This window comes from Homo sapiens, chromosome 11 (assembly GCF_000001405.40).
Source record: "Homo sapiens chromosome 11, GRCh38.p14 Primary Assembly".
Lineage (NCBI taxonomy): Eukaryota > Metazoa > Chordata > Mammalia > Primates > Hominidae > Homo > Homo sapiens.
In genome coordinates, this window is record NC_000011.10 from 121,570,577 (window position 1) to 121,584,250 (window position 13,674).

The 13,674-nt window shown below is 43.8% G+C and overlaps 1 protein-coding gene across 1 annotated transcript in view, besides 3 other annotated features; it reads left to right on the top strand.

The window, feature by feature from the left end:
- Positions 1-13,674, top strand: part of SORL1 (sortilin related receptor 1) — a 181,450-nt gene that overhangs the window by 118,263 nt on the left and 49,513 nt on the right. Inside the window, exons 24-26 of the mRNA NM_003105.6 lie at positions 3,665-3,787; positions 6,705-6,824; positions 12,882-13,007. Of these exons, the coding sequence (NP_003096.2) occupies positions 3,665-3,787; positions 6,705-6,824; positions 12,882-13,007 (369 nt within the window). The remainder of the gene's footprint in view (positions 1-3,664; positions 3,788-6,704; positions 6,825-12,881; positions 13,008-13,674) is intronic.
- Positions 168-669: an enhancer, noted in NCBI's record as "H3K27ac hESC enhancer chr11:121441453-121441954 (GRCh37/hg19 assembly coordinates)". NCBI's record gives its function as "activates a minimal SCP1, AML or CMV promoter by ChIP-STARR-seq in primed H9 embryonic stem cells {active_cell/tissue: H9 hESC(primed)}" and the evidence as "EXISTENCE:reporter gene assay evidence [ECO:0000049][PMID:30033119]".
- Positions 670-1,169: an enhancer, noted in NCBI's record as "H3K27ac hESC enhancer chr11:121441955-121442454 (GRCh37/hg19 assembly coordinates)". NCBI's record gives its function as "activates a minimal SCP1, AML or CMV promoter by ChIP-STARR-seq in primed H9 embryonic stem cells {active_cell/tissue: H9 hESC(primed)}" and the evidence as "EXISTENCE:reporter gene assay evidence [ECO:0000049][PMID:30033119]".
- Positions 6,219-6,298: a silencer, noted in NCBI's record as "silent region_4006". NCBI's record gives its function as "represses an Ori minimal core promoter by ATAC-STARR-seq in GM12878 lymphoblastoid cells {active_cell/tissue: GM12878}" and the evidence as "EXISTENCE:reporter gene assay evidence [ECO:0000049][PMID:35858748]".

The window sequence follows — 13,674 nt, forward strand, 5'->3', positions numbered from 1 at the left end:
TTGGCTGTGGCTCTGTAATAAAGCTGGTGACTTGGGGCGAGTAAACAGGTGATATTCTTTGATTTGGAAATTCAATATTCAGCCTTTTTAGGGATGGGAAATGAGTATTTACTCCAGTTGGTTGATGTTGGCTACCTACCAGGCTCAAGAGAGATTGTTTTCATTGGTTAGTAATGCATAGCTTGGCCTACAGTGTGGGGCCATTGGTGTACATGCCATGTAAGTGTCATCTTTAGGCTGTATAATTTTTAAGATCTGACTTCTAAAGTATAAGACTGTGGTTAGCAGAAGTTAAAACCAAACAACCACAAATAACAGATAGTTTATTAACCATGAATTTTCACTATCTTTTCTTCACTTAATTTTTAATAGCTTCGACATTATCTTATAAGGAGATGATTTGCCCTTTTGTCAGTCATGCACTCACTCAACAAGCAGTTGCTATACACCCTGTGTTCCAGGCTCTGTGCTGGGCCTGCATATATATTGCCGATCAAGGCAGAAACGGAGTTCACAGTCTGAAGTAGGAGTCAGAAAAATAGGCAGTTACAGTAGAGTGACGGGCACTGCGATGCGGAAGTGTCATATGCATGTAGGATGGGCACCCAAAGCAAACTTGGGCAGGCCCTAGCAAAGAGCTCTGGAGAGTGTCTGGGGTGAACCAAGCAGAGGTGGAGGGAATCAATTCACAGGCAAGGGAGCAGCATGTGGGGAAGCTGGCATGGCCAGGAAACTGGTTTGAGTTATGGAGAATGGGCATGGGCACAGGGGCCAAGGTGAAGTTAGATGAGTGGGCAGCGCCCAGGACAGCAAGGGCTTTGTGGACTTTATCGGAGAAGCAGTTGGGAACCACTGATGTCATGTGATGAAAGTTCATCTTTGGAAGGATAAGTAGTGGGCAGAATGCGTTTGATGGAGAGAGACCAGAAGCAGGAACCAAGTCAGAGGCTTCTCTTTTATATATTTTACCTTTGGCAACCCAGGGGCTCATTTACCCATTTGTACTGTAAGAACAGATTAATGGGAAGCTCTAGATACTCATTTAGCCAGTCATCCGTGGGGCCTGTGCCCGGCTCCCCTGCCACTTCACCCAGAAAGCAACTTGTGAAATATCCAGCTCATTAAACACATCTGGGCCCTGCAATCCTATAGACTCCCCCTTTTGGCTGATAGAGGGTTATTTACAAAGCCTTTCCTTAATCGTTTTCCCTTGGATTCAGAGGGTGCCTTTCACACCGAGGGAGTAGAGCTTATTTGCTGAATGGCAGATTTGGGAAAGCACTAGCCTCTCTGTGTCTTTTCTGCAAAAAATAAGGCCTATAAAGCCTCCTTTATCAGAGTTGCAGGAAGGTGTGATATTTGTGGGGGAATAGCCAAAGCTCTTTAAAAACATTAATGCTTATTAACAGCATTGAAGCAGATAATGGAAAGGAGTTTATTACATATCTGGGTGGGATAGAAGATGCTTCTTAGAATTAACAAGTTACAAGGAAATTGCCCAGACATAATTAGGCACAGTGGAAGCAGGGAGATACAAACCAGATGACCTCATATCCAAGAGTGAGGGACACAGGTGGCAGAGCATTCCTCCTTGTGCCCTTGGGCTTGGTTTCTACTAAATGGACAAGCTGAATCTTGTATTGGCTCCGAGTTTTGAGAGGAATGAAGACCTGCATCTTTTGGGAGGCACCTGCTGCCTCCAATGGCTTCCTCCCACCCAGCCCCTGAGCTCTGTTGCAGACTGCACAGTTGTGCATGAAGGATGGAGCTGGCCCTGCCCTCCTCCCAGCTTGGCGTGAATGTCAGCTGGGATTCACTTTCCAGAGACCCCGAGACCTACTTTCTGCTCCGTCGTCTCCCTGTTTCACCTGGCTCAGGTCTACACATGTCAGATGGAGCTGAGGCGTGGAGAGGAGGAACCAGAAGGATTTAAAACTCAGAGACTGGGAGTCAAGAGAGAGGGGCTTATCTGTGCCTGCATGTGTGTCTCCCTCATCAAGGAGGTTGCGTGTGGAGGAGAGAGGTTCCCTGTTTCTAAGCAGGGCTGCAGGAGCTGGACCGCAGTGACTGAGTACTGCCATGTGGGGAGTTAAGTGAGGCACCCTGCCAGCTGCCAGGGAGCAGTGGAGGAGGGGGGACACCGGGATGCAGGAGGGTGTTGTCAGTGGGTTTCCCTCCCTCTTACACAGATTCCTCTAGCTGGGTGACTGTCAGGCACTCAGGGTTTTGACGCGAATCCCTGCAGTCTTGTCATTTTGCATTCATCCCCTGCCTCCCACCACGAGCTCAATTACAGAGAAGAAATGGAGCCTCAAATAAGAGCTGCCAGGATGTCTAACGGCAGCATTGCTATTTGGCATTTCGTGCACGACAACCCCTCCCCCGTGCCAGCATTCTGTTCTGCCACATTTTACCTCCTGGGTCAGCCTTTCACTCTCCTGAGAGCAGCCTGCCTTCCCCTCGCCTTTCCTGGAGGGTGTTTCACGGGGTGCCAGGGATTGTGCTTAAGCACAGGAAATATCTACTTAGGAGAGGAAGAAAAATCTAATTCTGTATCCATTCTAATGCCAGAAGGACATGAGGAATGATGAGGAAGAGAAGTGACATTTGTTTAGAGCCCATTATATTTACATCCTATTTAATAGGCTCTGGTTCCAAACTTGTTCCCTGGTTTATCTTCATAATAATGCTACCAAGTAAAGGCAGGTTAAGTAAGTTGTAGGTTGCAGACTCAATTCAAATCTAGTCTTTCTGGCTGGGCGTGGTGGCTCATGCCTGTAATCCTAGCACTTTGGGAGGCTGAGGCAGGCAGATCACTTGAGGCCAGGAGTTCAAGACCATCCTGGCCAACATGGCAAAACCCCATCTGTACTAAAAATACAAAAATTAACTGGGGCTGGTGGTGGGTGCCTGTAATCCCAGCTACTCAGGAGGCTGAGGCTGGAGAAATCGCTTGAACCTGGGAGGCGGAGGTTGCAGTGAGCCGAGATTGCGCCACTGCACTCCAGCCTGGGCAACAGAGCGAGACTCCATCTCAAAAAACAGAAAAACAAATCTAGTCTCTCTGACTGTGATCTCAAGCACTAGGACACATTATCTTACCCAGTTTTACTGTTGAGAAAACAGCCGTAGGGAGATTAAAATTAATTTCCCCAGGAAGAGGTAGAGCCACGATTTGGTACCCAGTCTTGACTGACTGCAGACAGAGCCTATGTTCCTACTGTAGAATTCTACCTCCATGCTGCCTTTACCATCTGTACAATGAAGTGCTAACTTCTTGTGTGAAATTGAGCTTCTCTAATCGTAGTTTCATAGATAAAGGTATTTCTGTCACTTATTTAGGAAGACACTTTTCGCGTCTGAAGGGATCTTAGGAGGTCACCTAGCCTGTCACTCTCTCTCGCCAACAGATGACAGTTTCTCACTTTTCCCCGTCCTGTTCCGATCTGGAAGCTGTCCACAGAAAGATATGCCCTTATCTCTCTTGGTTGTAAATTTCAAGCTCTCATGTAATTTATGTCTTCTGTAAGTCTAGGTTTAATTTCTGTTGCTACAATTAATACCTGCTTTCTTCTATTTTTTAATTGGTTTTCCAGTAGGATGTTTACATTTGTGGGAAATCAATTGTACCTAAGGAATATGTTGTCTTTCTATCCCATTTTAGCTACCACCATCTGTGACCTGGACACCCAGTTTCGTTGCCAGGAGTCTGGGACTTGTATCCCACTGTCCTATAAATGTGACCTTGAGGATGACTGTGGAGACAACAGTGATGAAAGTCATTGTGGTAAGGGGACATCACATCCTGAAACCCTGCTCTGGAGAGGGGGGTCATTGTGCTCCCTCACAGGGCTGTACTGGTATGTACTGGTTTTCTGATAGCCGTCTCAGGATTTATGATATTCTAGCTGAATGGCTTTCTCCATCCACATGGTGGGGTTGAGTCATTTCTCTGTCCATTCTTAAAGAGTTTGTTTGCTGCTTTTCACGAGGATTCAGTTCGCTGGAGACACTTGCGAACTGGGACCCTAGATTCCCATTAACTCTGGATGGGACCCTAGATTCCCATTAACTCTGGATCAAGTGTCTCCAGCAGAACTGAATCCTCATGATTCATGGTCAGAAAAGATGGAGCCTGGACTCAGCTCCTGTCACTTACTCTTAGATTAGCCTTTGTTTTCTAGTCTGAAAAATGGGGAAATGGACCCTGCTTTGCCTTGGAGAGATGCTATAAGGATGAAAGGTGATGGTAAGGAAGTAAATTTCTGAATGAATTCAGGGGGTTATTAACAGCTCTACAGGCTTGGCCCACATGTCTCAGTGGGTGTGAGATTAGCCTGCTGAAGACACAAATCTGCACCTCTGTGAACTGTTCTTTTTTTTTTAACCAATTTAATTCATTCAACTCTGTTATTATTAGAAGTTAGCAGATGGTATAGGCATTGAGTGAGCATCTGTTTTCTGAATGGACATTTTTATATTTAGAAAAACAGTGGGTTACAATTCCAAGGAATGATAGAGATTCTCTGGTCCAATCCTTTTAATTTCTACTTTCTAAAGTGACTGAGGTCTGTAGAGGTCAGGGGGCTTATTCAAGGTGACACAATTAGTTTGTGTCAGAATGGGGAACTGGAATCCATGTCTCCCATTTTCTAATCCTCCACTATTTCTGTTGCACAGTACCTCCTTGTCAGTTTCATGAGACCCATCTTAGTTAACAGTCCCTGGTCCCAGACTCATAGTTGCTGACCTCCGAAGGAGACATTATGCAATCAGCATGGTGTGCCAGATTGAGGCATGAGAGGGAAGTGAGAGTGGAGGTCAGACGCTGACCCAGACGTGGTGATGAGTTGGCGGGGCCCTACTGTGCCCTCTCTCCCTGTCCACGGGGGGCAGGTCCAGCCACGCTGTGCTTACGCACATGGACACAGCCTGCTTGATTATGAGCAGGTGGTTTGACTCACAGCAGCTGAAATAAGGGGAGCAAGGGCAGCTTGTAAATCATCTCAATGCAAGTTAACCAGCAGAGCAGAGCCTAGGCCATTTCCACACAGAAAATACCCCTAGCCTGGCTCTTGGAAGGTTTTTAAAAAATTCCCAGTTTTCCTTCTTCAAGTGCCTGAAAACATGTCCTTGGAATGTGCAACTATTTCCCCTTCATCCCTGCCATTTCCTTCCCAGCACTCTTAGAAGGTTGAAATGTGTAGCTAGTTTTGCCCTAGTAAGAAGGAAACTTCACGTGGTTCCCTCTTTCTGGTATCATTGAGCTCACGTACTGGGTACATGTTTGACTGTGAAGCAGTTTCAGCCCCCTGATCCTCTGTTCATGGCTCATTCTTACTAGTTTGTCCTGAATTCATCCCAGGGTCCCGGTTAGCCCCTTCCTCTGATGCAGGTCCTCTTCGTAAGTTTCCACACTCTTCCTCAAAAATATCTGATTTACTAGCTTTGCCATCAACAAGCCTCTTGGCGAGAATGACTGAGACGGCTGCCTTGGGCCCCACGCTTGGCTGCTCCTGTTTTCTGACGCTCTGTAAACTCCATGTGAAAGTTCTATGCCACAGTCTATTTGGGCTGTGATAACAAAATACTTAGTGTAGGTAATTTATAAACAATAGTATTTTGTTTCTCACAGTACTGGAGACTGGGAGGTCCAAGACTGAGGTGCCAGCAGACTTATTGTCTAGTGAGGGCCTGTTCCTCATAGATGGTACCTTCACTGCAGCGTCAGATGGCACCTCTGCTTCTGGAAGGACTGCAGGGAAATGCTTCTATCTGTACGCAAGCGTGGCAGAAGGAGTGAACAGCTCCCTCCCACCTCTTTCTTAAGGACACTAATCCTATTCATGAGGGCTCTGCCCCCATGACTTAATTACCTCACAGGGGTCCCATCTCTTAATAATATCACATTGGTGATTAAGTTTCAACATACAAATTTGAAGTTTCAACATATGAAGTATAAACATTTGAATTTTCCTAGCCTCCAGAACCGAGAGAAATAAATTGCTATTGTTTATAAGCTCAGCCTATAGCATTCTGTCTTCATGATCTCCCCAGGAGCTTTGAAGGCTATTGCCAGGGCAGCCTCCTTCCCCTTCTTGGTCAAGCTCTGCTGGTTGGTTCTTACCAGGCCCCCACCCTTCTAGAGACAGCGCATCCACCCGTGTCCCTGGAGCTCTGCCCACAGAAAGTCCCGAGTTATGTTTCCTCCGTTTTGGGAGCTCAGCACTGATTTTACTCTCTCTGACTGAGCATCTCACGGTGATCAGCTCATGCAGACCTCTCGGCACTCCTTTTCTCAAACCACAGGCTGTGTCTGTAGGAGTCCTCTGTTTCTTGAAAGTTCTACTTCCTGGCCTCCTCTATCACTGCTTCCTAACCTTCTTCCCATCATAGCAAGCATAGAAAATAATATATGTGGAGAGCACTGGGATGAATGGACAAGGATGCTGTTGTCAAGAGGCAAGCAGCTCTAAGGGTCTGAGGGTCTCAGAATCTCAGCCCACCTGTAACCCATTTGCAGCACACTGACTGGAAGCTGTTAAATGACCTTTTGTCCCTGGTAAAAGTCTCTTCGTTCATGGTCTCTGTGGATCATTGGTGATCACGGGTCCATCTCCATCCTTTATGAGAGCTTTGACACCAGAGACAAAATTCTGAACAAGCTTTTGTCCTCACCTCTCTGTTTATGGTCTCACCTGCAGAAATGCACCAGTGCCGGAGTGACGAGTACAACTGCAGTTCCGGCATGTGCATCCGCTCCTCCTGGGTATGTGACGGGGACAACGACTGCAGGGACTGGTCTGATGAAGCCAACTGTACCGGTCAGTACTTCCTGGACTCAGTTGACAGCACTCATCCGTTCATGCAGTGGTTAACATTATAGCTTTAAACGATCGGAAAATCTAGGCTCTGAGAATTAGCTTGGACCTTAGAAATCAGCGAGTTTCATGCTTCTCAAAGAGCTGGTCTTTGATGAGATAAGGAACCTGTGCCAGAATGTAAATCAACACCCTGCTTTCAACTGATTAAACAGTGTTCTGAGTGATATCGTTGATTTATGTTCTGGCTCAAGCTTCTTATTCATTCAGGACCAGTGTTAAACAGTTTTCAGACCAGCCCCTCGGCTGGGGTCCATACTTTGAGTAAGCACTGAACTAGCTCATGTTTTTTAAAATGGAGCATCAGGGGGTTCCCCAGACAAGGAAAATGTAAACTGTGTTTGTACCCGTTTTGGGTAAGATTTTATTAAAAGTAAAGATGGAAACAACATGAATGTGCTAGGTGCTATAAGGTAGGGGTAGTGTTCTCATTCTTTTGTTGGGTTCGCTTATGTTCATTACATTATTTTTATGAATGAGTGGATGAATGGTGGCCAGATATATTATGATGGGGCAGGGCAGACTGGGGGTGATAGGCAGTGGGTAGTGCAAGGAGTTGAGAAGCTTGTGGAGAAATGAAAACAAATTCCATTTTATAATCATCACTTTGTACCCCATTGTAATTTGTCCAAAAAACAAAAATTAAGGAATTTTTGTTCCAGATTTTATTACTCATTGAGTAAATTTGCTCTACAGCCTCCTTGAGAAGCTGTTATTCAGTTCTGTCTTGAACCCCTCTAGTGATTTTGGACTAGGGAGATAAAGATGTTTCCTTTAAACATTTCATGGTAAGGACAGATCTGTTTTTACACTCGGATAATTCAGACTTCATTGTGTAATTCATTGTTGAGTCATCTTCTCAATTATCTGAAGCCAGCTATTAATCTTGTGAATTATTGGACTTTTAAATCTCATGTCTTAACCTCCTCTGCCCCCAGAGTATCCCAGCACTTCCTACACTGCCCGGCATCTGGCGGCTCAAAGCACGCCTACTAATTGGTAAAAGGAAATACAAAGAAGGTACATCTGTTATATCTCAGACCTAAGGATAAATAACTGTGCATTATGCTCTGGCTTAGACTTGCTTCCCCACGGAGAGAGATGACCTCTTCTTTTACTCTTTTGTATTCTCTGCAGTGTCCAGCACATAATAGAGTATGTGCTCAGAGAACCTTTGTGGATTGAGTAATTTTATGCAACTGCTTCCCTCCATTCCTTTTAGTTTGGAGGTGACCTCATATGGCCTTAAGGGAGTGAATAGATCTCTTCAAATGCCATATACATCACATGGGATATTCTGTGGTGTTACCAAATCCTGTTCGCTTGTAAAGTCCACCCATGTTCTTTCTGGCGCAGCCTCTGTGTCTGCACCTCTGCTTCTGAAAAGACTGCAGGAAAATGCTTCTCTCTGTATATTAAAGCATGGTCTGCAGAAGGAGGAAGAACCGAGGCCCATAAAGGAGCTGCCGTTGGCACAGGAAACACGTGAATGCTGTTTGGAAGCTTTGGGTTTGGATGGATACTTAGTTAATAGATTAGAAGGGTGCACTTGGACATTGCAGTTTGTAAATTGCAGTATGATTGAACATCTTGTTAACACAACTGCCTTACTCAAATTTGCATTTCAGCAGCATGTGCCGGTCTTACAGAATGAATTGATTACTTCATTTCTATAGGCAAGCTTGTATAAACTCCTGGTTTTTTCTCTGATTTTCTTCCGGCAAGGCAAACTGGAGAAAACTTAAGAGTCCTTGCTGCTCAGCTGCAGCCTTGTTCCAAGGGCTGTTCTTCCAAACCTTTCAAGGATGATCCACCTTCTCTGTCATCTCAAAATAGTTGGAGGTCAGATGTGAGCTCATGGTGATGTGTGGCATGACACCTCATTTTCAGACCTACTAAATTAAGCTGCGTACAGTGCCAAAAGAAATAGGTCAAGGTAGCTGACCTCCTGTTGGCATCAGCTTGGATGCGCACTCTGCTGTGCGTCCTCTTTGCTTTTCTTTTCGCCACTTTTACTTTCCACGAGGCTGTTTCTTTATTCACCTCAACCCACCGCTATTGTTTTTAAACGTGTACATCTGATTTCTGTGTGTTTTTTTAGGACAATTACCTGTAGACATTTTATTTGTATTCTTAACATCTTTCCTCTCTCCTAGATATATGGGGACTTTAGAATTTGATCCAAATCTCTGCCTACAGTTCCAGTACTAAAATACCTAGTATTTTAAACACTAAATATTTAGTATTTTAGTTTTATATTAAAAAATCCTAAACTTCACTGTTACTCTTTTTAAATAACCACACTTCTGCATAGGCACACAGGTATTACCAACTACCTCTGTGTCTTGTTGCTAATGCCTCCCACCAATGTACATCCTTCAGGGGTTTTGCAGCAGGAGTCTATGAGTGGCAAACTCTTTCAAGGTTTTGTTATTATAGACATATATTTAATCCTCAATCTTGAATTCAAATGGGTCTGGGTTTCTAGGCTTTTAGTAATTTTCCGTATTTTCATAGAATTCTTCCATTTCTTCCTGGCCTCTTTTGTGTTGATTTGAATTCTGCTCTTAGTTGTCTGTTCAAATAATAACAGACACTCTTTTCTTTCTAATTACCTTTAGGTTATATTGCTCTTAGTTTTACCTACCTAGGTGTGGAATTATTTTTACTTATCCTGCTTGAGACTTTGTTTGTTTTAAGATCTGAGAATTTTTCGAAAGACAACTCTGGGAAGTTACAGCTACTAACTCTTCAACTATACCTGTTGGCTACTTTCTCTGGTCTTGTCTTCAGCAGTTACTCTAAGCCATTCGTTGGACTGCCTCATTCTGTTGTTCTCTTCCCTCCTGTTTTTATATTTGCTGTCTCTTTATGACTCTGTGCTAGAATCTGAGCGACTTCTCTAGATTTATCTTCCAGTTCAACAATTCTCTTTTCAGCTAACTCTAATCTGCTGTTTCACATATACATGGAGCTGTTTTTTTTATTTCCATGAGTATACGTTTTGTATCTAGAATTTCTGTTTGGTTCTTTTTCAAATCTGCCTTTTATTTTTCAGTGTTCTTTTTTTAATACTTTATGTTTTTTCTTCTCTGTCATTAATCATTCAAATTGTGATGATAGTCATTTTTTTCCTCATGCACTTACTTTTTTTTTTTTTTTTTTGAGACAGGGTTTTGTCTTGTCTCCCAGGCTGGAGGGTAGTGGCGCGATGACAGCTCACTGTAGCCTTGACCTCCTGGGCTCAATCCATCTTCCCGCCTTAGCCTCTTGAGTAGCTGGGGCTACAGACATGTGCCATCATGCCTGGCTAATTTTTGTATGTTTTGTAGAGATGGGGTTTTGCCATATTGCCCAGGCTGGTCTCGAACTCCTGGGTGCAAGTGATCCTCTTACCTTGTCCTCTCAAAGTGCTGGGATTACAGGTATGAGCTACTGCACCTGGTCCCCTTCTCATACACTTTTTTTTTTTTTTTTGAGACGGGGTCTCTGTCGCCCAGGCTAGAGTACAGTGGTGCGATCTTGGCTTACTGCATCCTCTGTCTCCCAGGTTCAAGCAATTCTCCTGCCTCAGCCTCACGAGTAGCTGGGACTACAGATGTGTGCCAGCAGGCCTGGCTAGTTTTGTGTTTTTAGTAGAGATGAGTTTTTACCATGTTGGCCAAGCTTGTCTCTAACTCCTGATCTCAAAGTGATCCACCCTCCTCGGCCTCCCAAAGTGCTGGGATTACAGGTATGAGCTACCACGCCTCATGCGTTTCTTTATAGTCTAGCGCTTTGTAAGAAATAAGGCAGTACTTTCCCTGTTATACTACTTATTTCATCCATTCTACTCTGCTCATGTTTGGTTAATGCTTTTAATCAGGCATTCCAGCAGGTCTTGATGAATCAGGAAAGTTCTGCCTGAGTCAAAGATTAAGTTGTAGGATATTGACCTATATTAGAAACTGATGTTAGATTTCCACGATTGTTTACCACACGAACTTCACCATTCTTATAGTTACAATGAATCCTACCATGCAGAGGATTCTTTTTCTTCCCTAAATTCTTCAGTCTGGATTAAAGTCCATCTCTTCCATCCTTGTAATTAAAAAAAAAATATGTATTAAGCATGCAGTATTTACCGGGCACTCAAAATCAGAGCTCATAAGTTACTAAGAAGATAGAAAAATCTAGAAAAAGATAATGCGTTATGTATTCCAGCCATACCTGGCCACTTGAATGCAAACTGATTACTCTTTCTGAGCTCAGCTTCTGTGATAGAATCTGGAGATCTCAGCCATGCCTCCCAGAATTGTCATTTGGAAACTTCACTAGCACTCTGAAATGGTTTTCAATTAAAAATGAAATGCAGAGGCTGAATAATAACTAGATTAGTATGGCAATTGGTTTAGGCAACTTTATATTTTATGAATGTGAGCAAGGTGTCGGTGAGGGATGTTTTGAAAGGCTGTCAGACTTGTGACACGAATAAATCAAAAGTATTCCAGGCGATGGCTGTTACTGGGGCAGAAACTCATGTAACATGCATGATACATTTATTCCTCTTATCAGAAATAAGTATAGTTTTTAAAGATGTTTAATGGATTCTGAGTGCCAAAGGTTGTAAATATTGAAACTTCTTATAGTTGTATATACATGCTGCCAAATACAGCCTTGGTCCTTGGAGAGATGGGAAGACATAGATAATGAGCTACCACTTGTTTTAAAGTGGTTTGAAAAATCAGGTTCTTTGGATTTCTGACCATTGCAAAAAATAGCCTCAAATGCAGTAAAATTCCTGAGGACATCATAAACCAATTTTCCCAGTCCTTGGGCAGCTTACTGCCAACTGTCTCAGTTGAATAGAAAACTATAGTTTGCTCTCAGCAACCCACTTCTGTGTGTTTTGTTTCTTTCCGTTGTGGTGTCATCCTCTCCACACAGTTAAACTAACAGAGAGTCCGTCTATCTAGGTTCTATTATCTTATGCTGGTTGTAAACAAGGCCAGTCCTGGCTTGCATTCAGCAATGAACAGACACAAACAGCTTTCTGTTTCAGAGGAGGAAGAGGAAATCAGATGGAGAGGACCGTTAGGAGTGTTGGTTGGGTTGGAGGCACATATTACGCATTTGAACTAGTGTTTGACTGAGTTTTTGAGGTGGTTCTAAATGACTTCCAGGTGGCCTCAGCCCATGTGTGCAGAGGAGGCTGTTCATGTTTAACAGTGACTCTCTTTCACTAGCTTCTTTTTTGCTTCTAGTGATTATAGTGGACACCACATATTATTGGCTGGTAGATGTTCCTCTCAACTCTACAGAAAGACAATTTCAAGTTCTTAGGCCTGCTTTCTTTGTGATTTTGGATGACTCTTTTATATTCCTCTGGCCTGAGGTTTTTCACACTTGAAATTGGATTTTTTTTTTAAAGAATTGTAATGTATGGCCTTCCAGAACTTAGCAGGGCCCTTAGGTTTCACTGTAAGGATGGTGAATTTGAGATCACCACACAGTGGCTGCACCAGGTCCAGGACTCCGTCTCCTGAGCACAGGCTGCCGCTCCTTATTTCTCAGCATCTGGATGAGTAAGAGGACTTAGGTGAGAAGGCAAACTACCAGGGTATAGCAGAAGAAGTGCAGGCTTGGGCCTTGGACTGCCTTGGTGTTACTACTTAATGATCTCTAATTTTCCTATTCTCTCTAAGCCTGTTCTCATTTGTGAAAGGGGAATAATCCTTACCTTGTAGGTTGTCGTGAAGAGCAAGTGATTTTTTAACGTGTGCATCTGTCCCTGGGCAATGGCCTGGGTCATGTTTATAAATCCATAGGCTCAAGTCCACCGAGGGAGCTGCCCAAGGTCAGCCCAAGTGCCCAATTCTCAGCCAAGGAGAAACCCAGATGCTCCCACAGTTCAGACCTTATTCCTACCTCATGCAAACCTCTTTTCAGCCCACCCCCTTGGACAGTTGGTGGGGGATGGAGATGAGGGGTGTGCGACTGTGTCTCTCTTCTCTGTTACAGCCATCTATCACACCTGTGAGGCCTCCAACTTCCAGTGCCGAAACGGGCACTGCATCCCCCAGCGGTGGGCGTGTGACGGGGATACGGACTGCCAGGATGGTTCCGATGAGGATCCAGTCAACTGTGGTAAATGCAAATTCCCCAGCTCCCTCCCTGAGCCTCCCCAGTGTCTGCTGTTCAGGAAGAGAGGCCACAGAGAGCCAGGGGATGAAATGCTGTTCTCCTATGCCTGTATTTACACTCTGAAACCAAATAAGCCCATCTACTTTCTATGTTATATTGCCATATGATGTATCAGATTATATTATATAGTCTTAAGAGTTGCAGGCAAGCAGTTTGCCCCACACACAAACTATATAAAATGCTGCCACGTAAACAAAATATATAAAATGTTTTTTGAAACCAAATATGTTTAAGGTTCTCTATCCTTTTGCCAAACATTCCAAGTTTTCAGGGGATGTTAGTTGTCTACATGTTGTTATACATTCTACTCCTTAAGTAAAGATGTTTATGCAACTCTGTTTTTGTGTAGTAAGCATTTTCATGGAGGATGCATATTCACTTTATGCTACCATAACCTAGTTTACATGGTTGCTTCCTGGTTGGGTGTTTGAGGTTTTTAGATTTATACTGTTATGCTAGTACCACTATTCGTGTCTTTGGAAATGGCCTGATTTTTCTTTGAGATATTTTCTGAGAGGCGTTCTTCAGTATGGAGTTGTAAGGTGAAAGGTTCTGACCAGTTTTTGAGTCTCTCTGTTACCAAATTGGGTTTCCAAGGGATTACATCAAA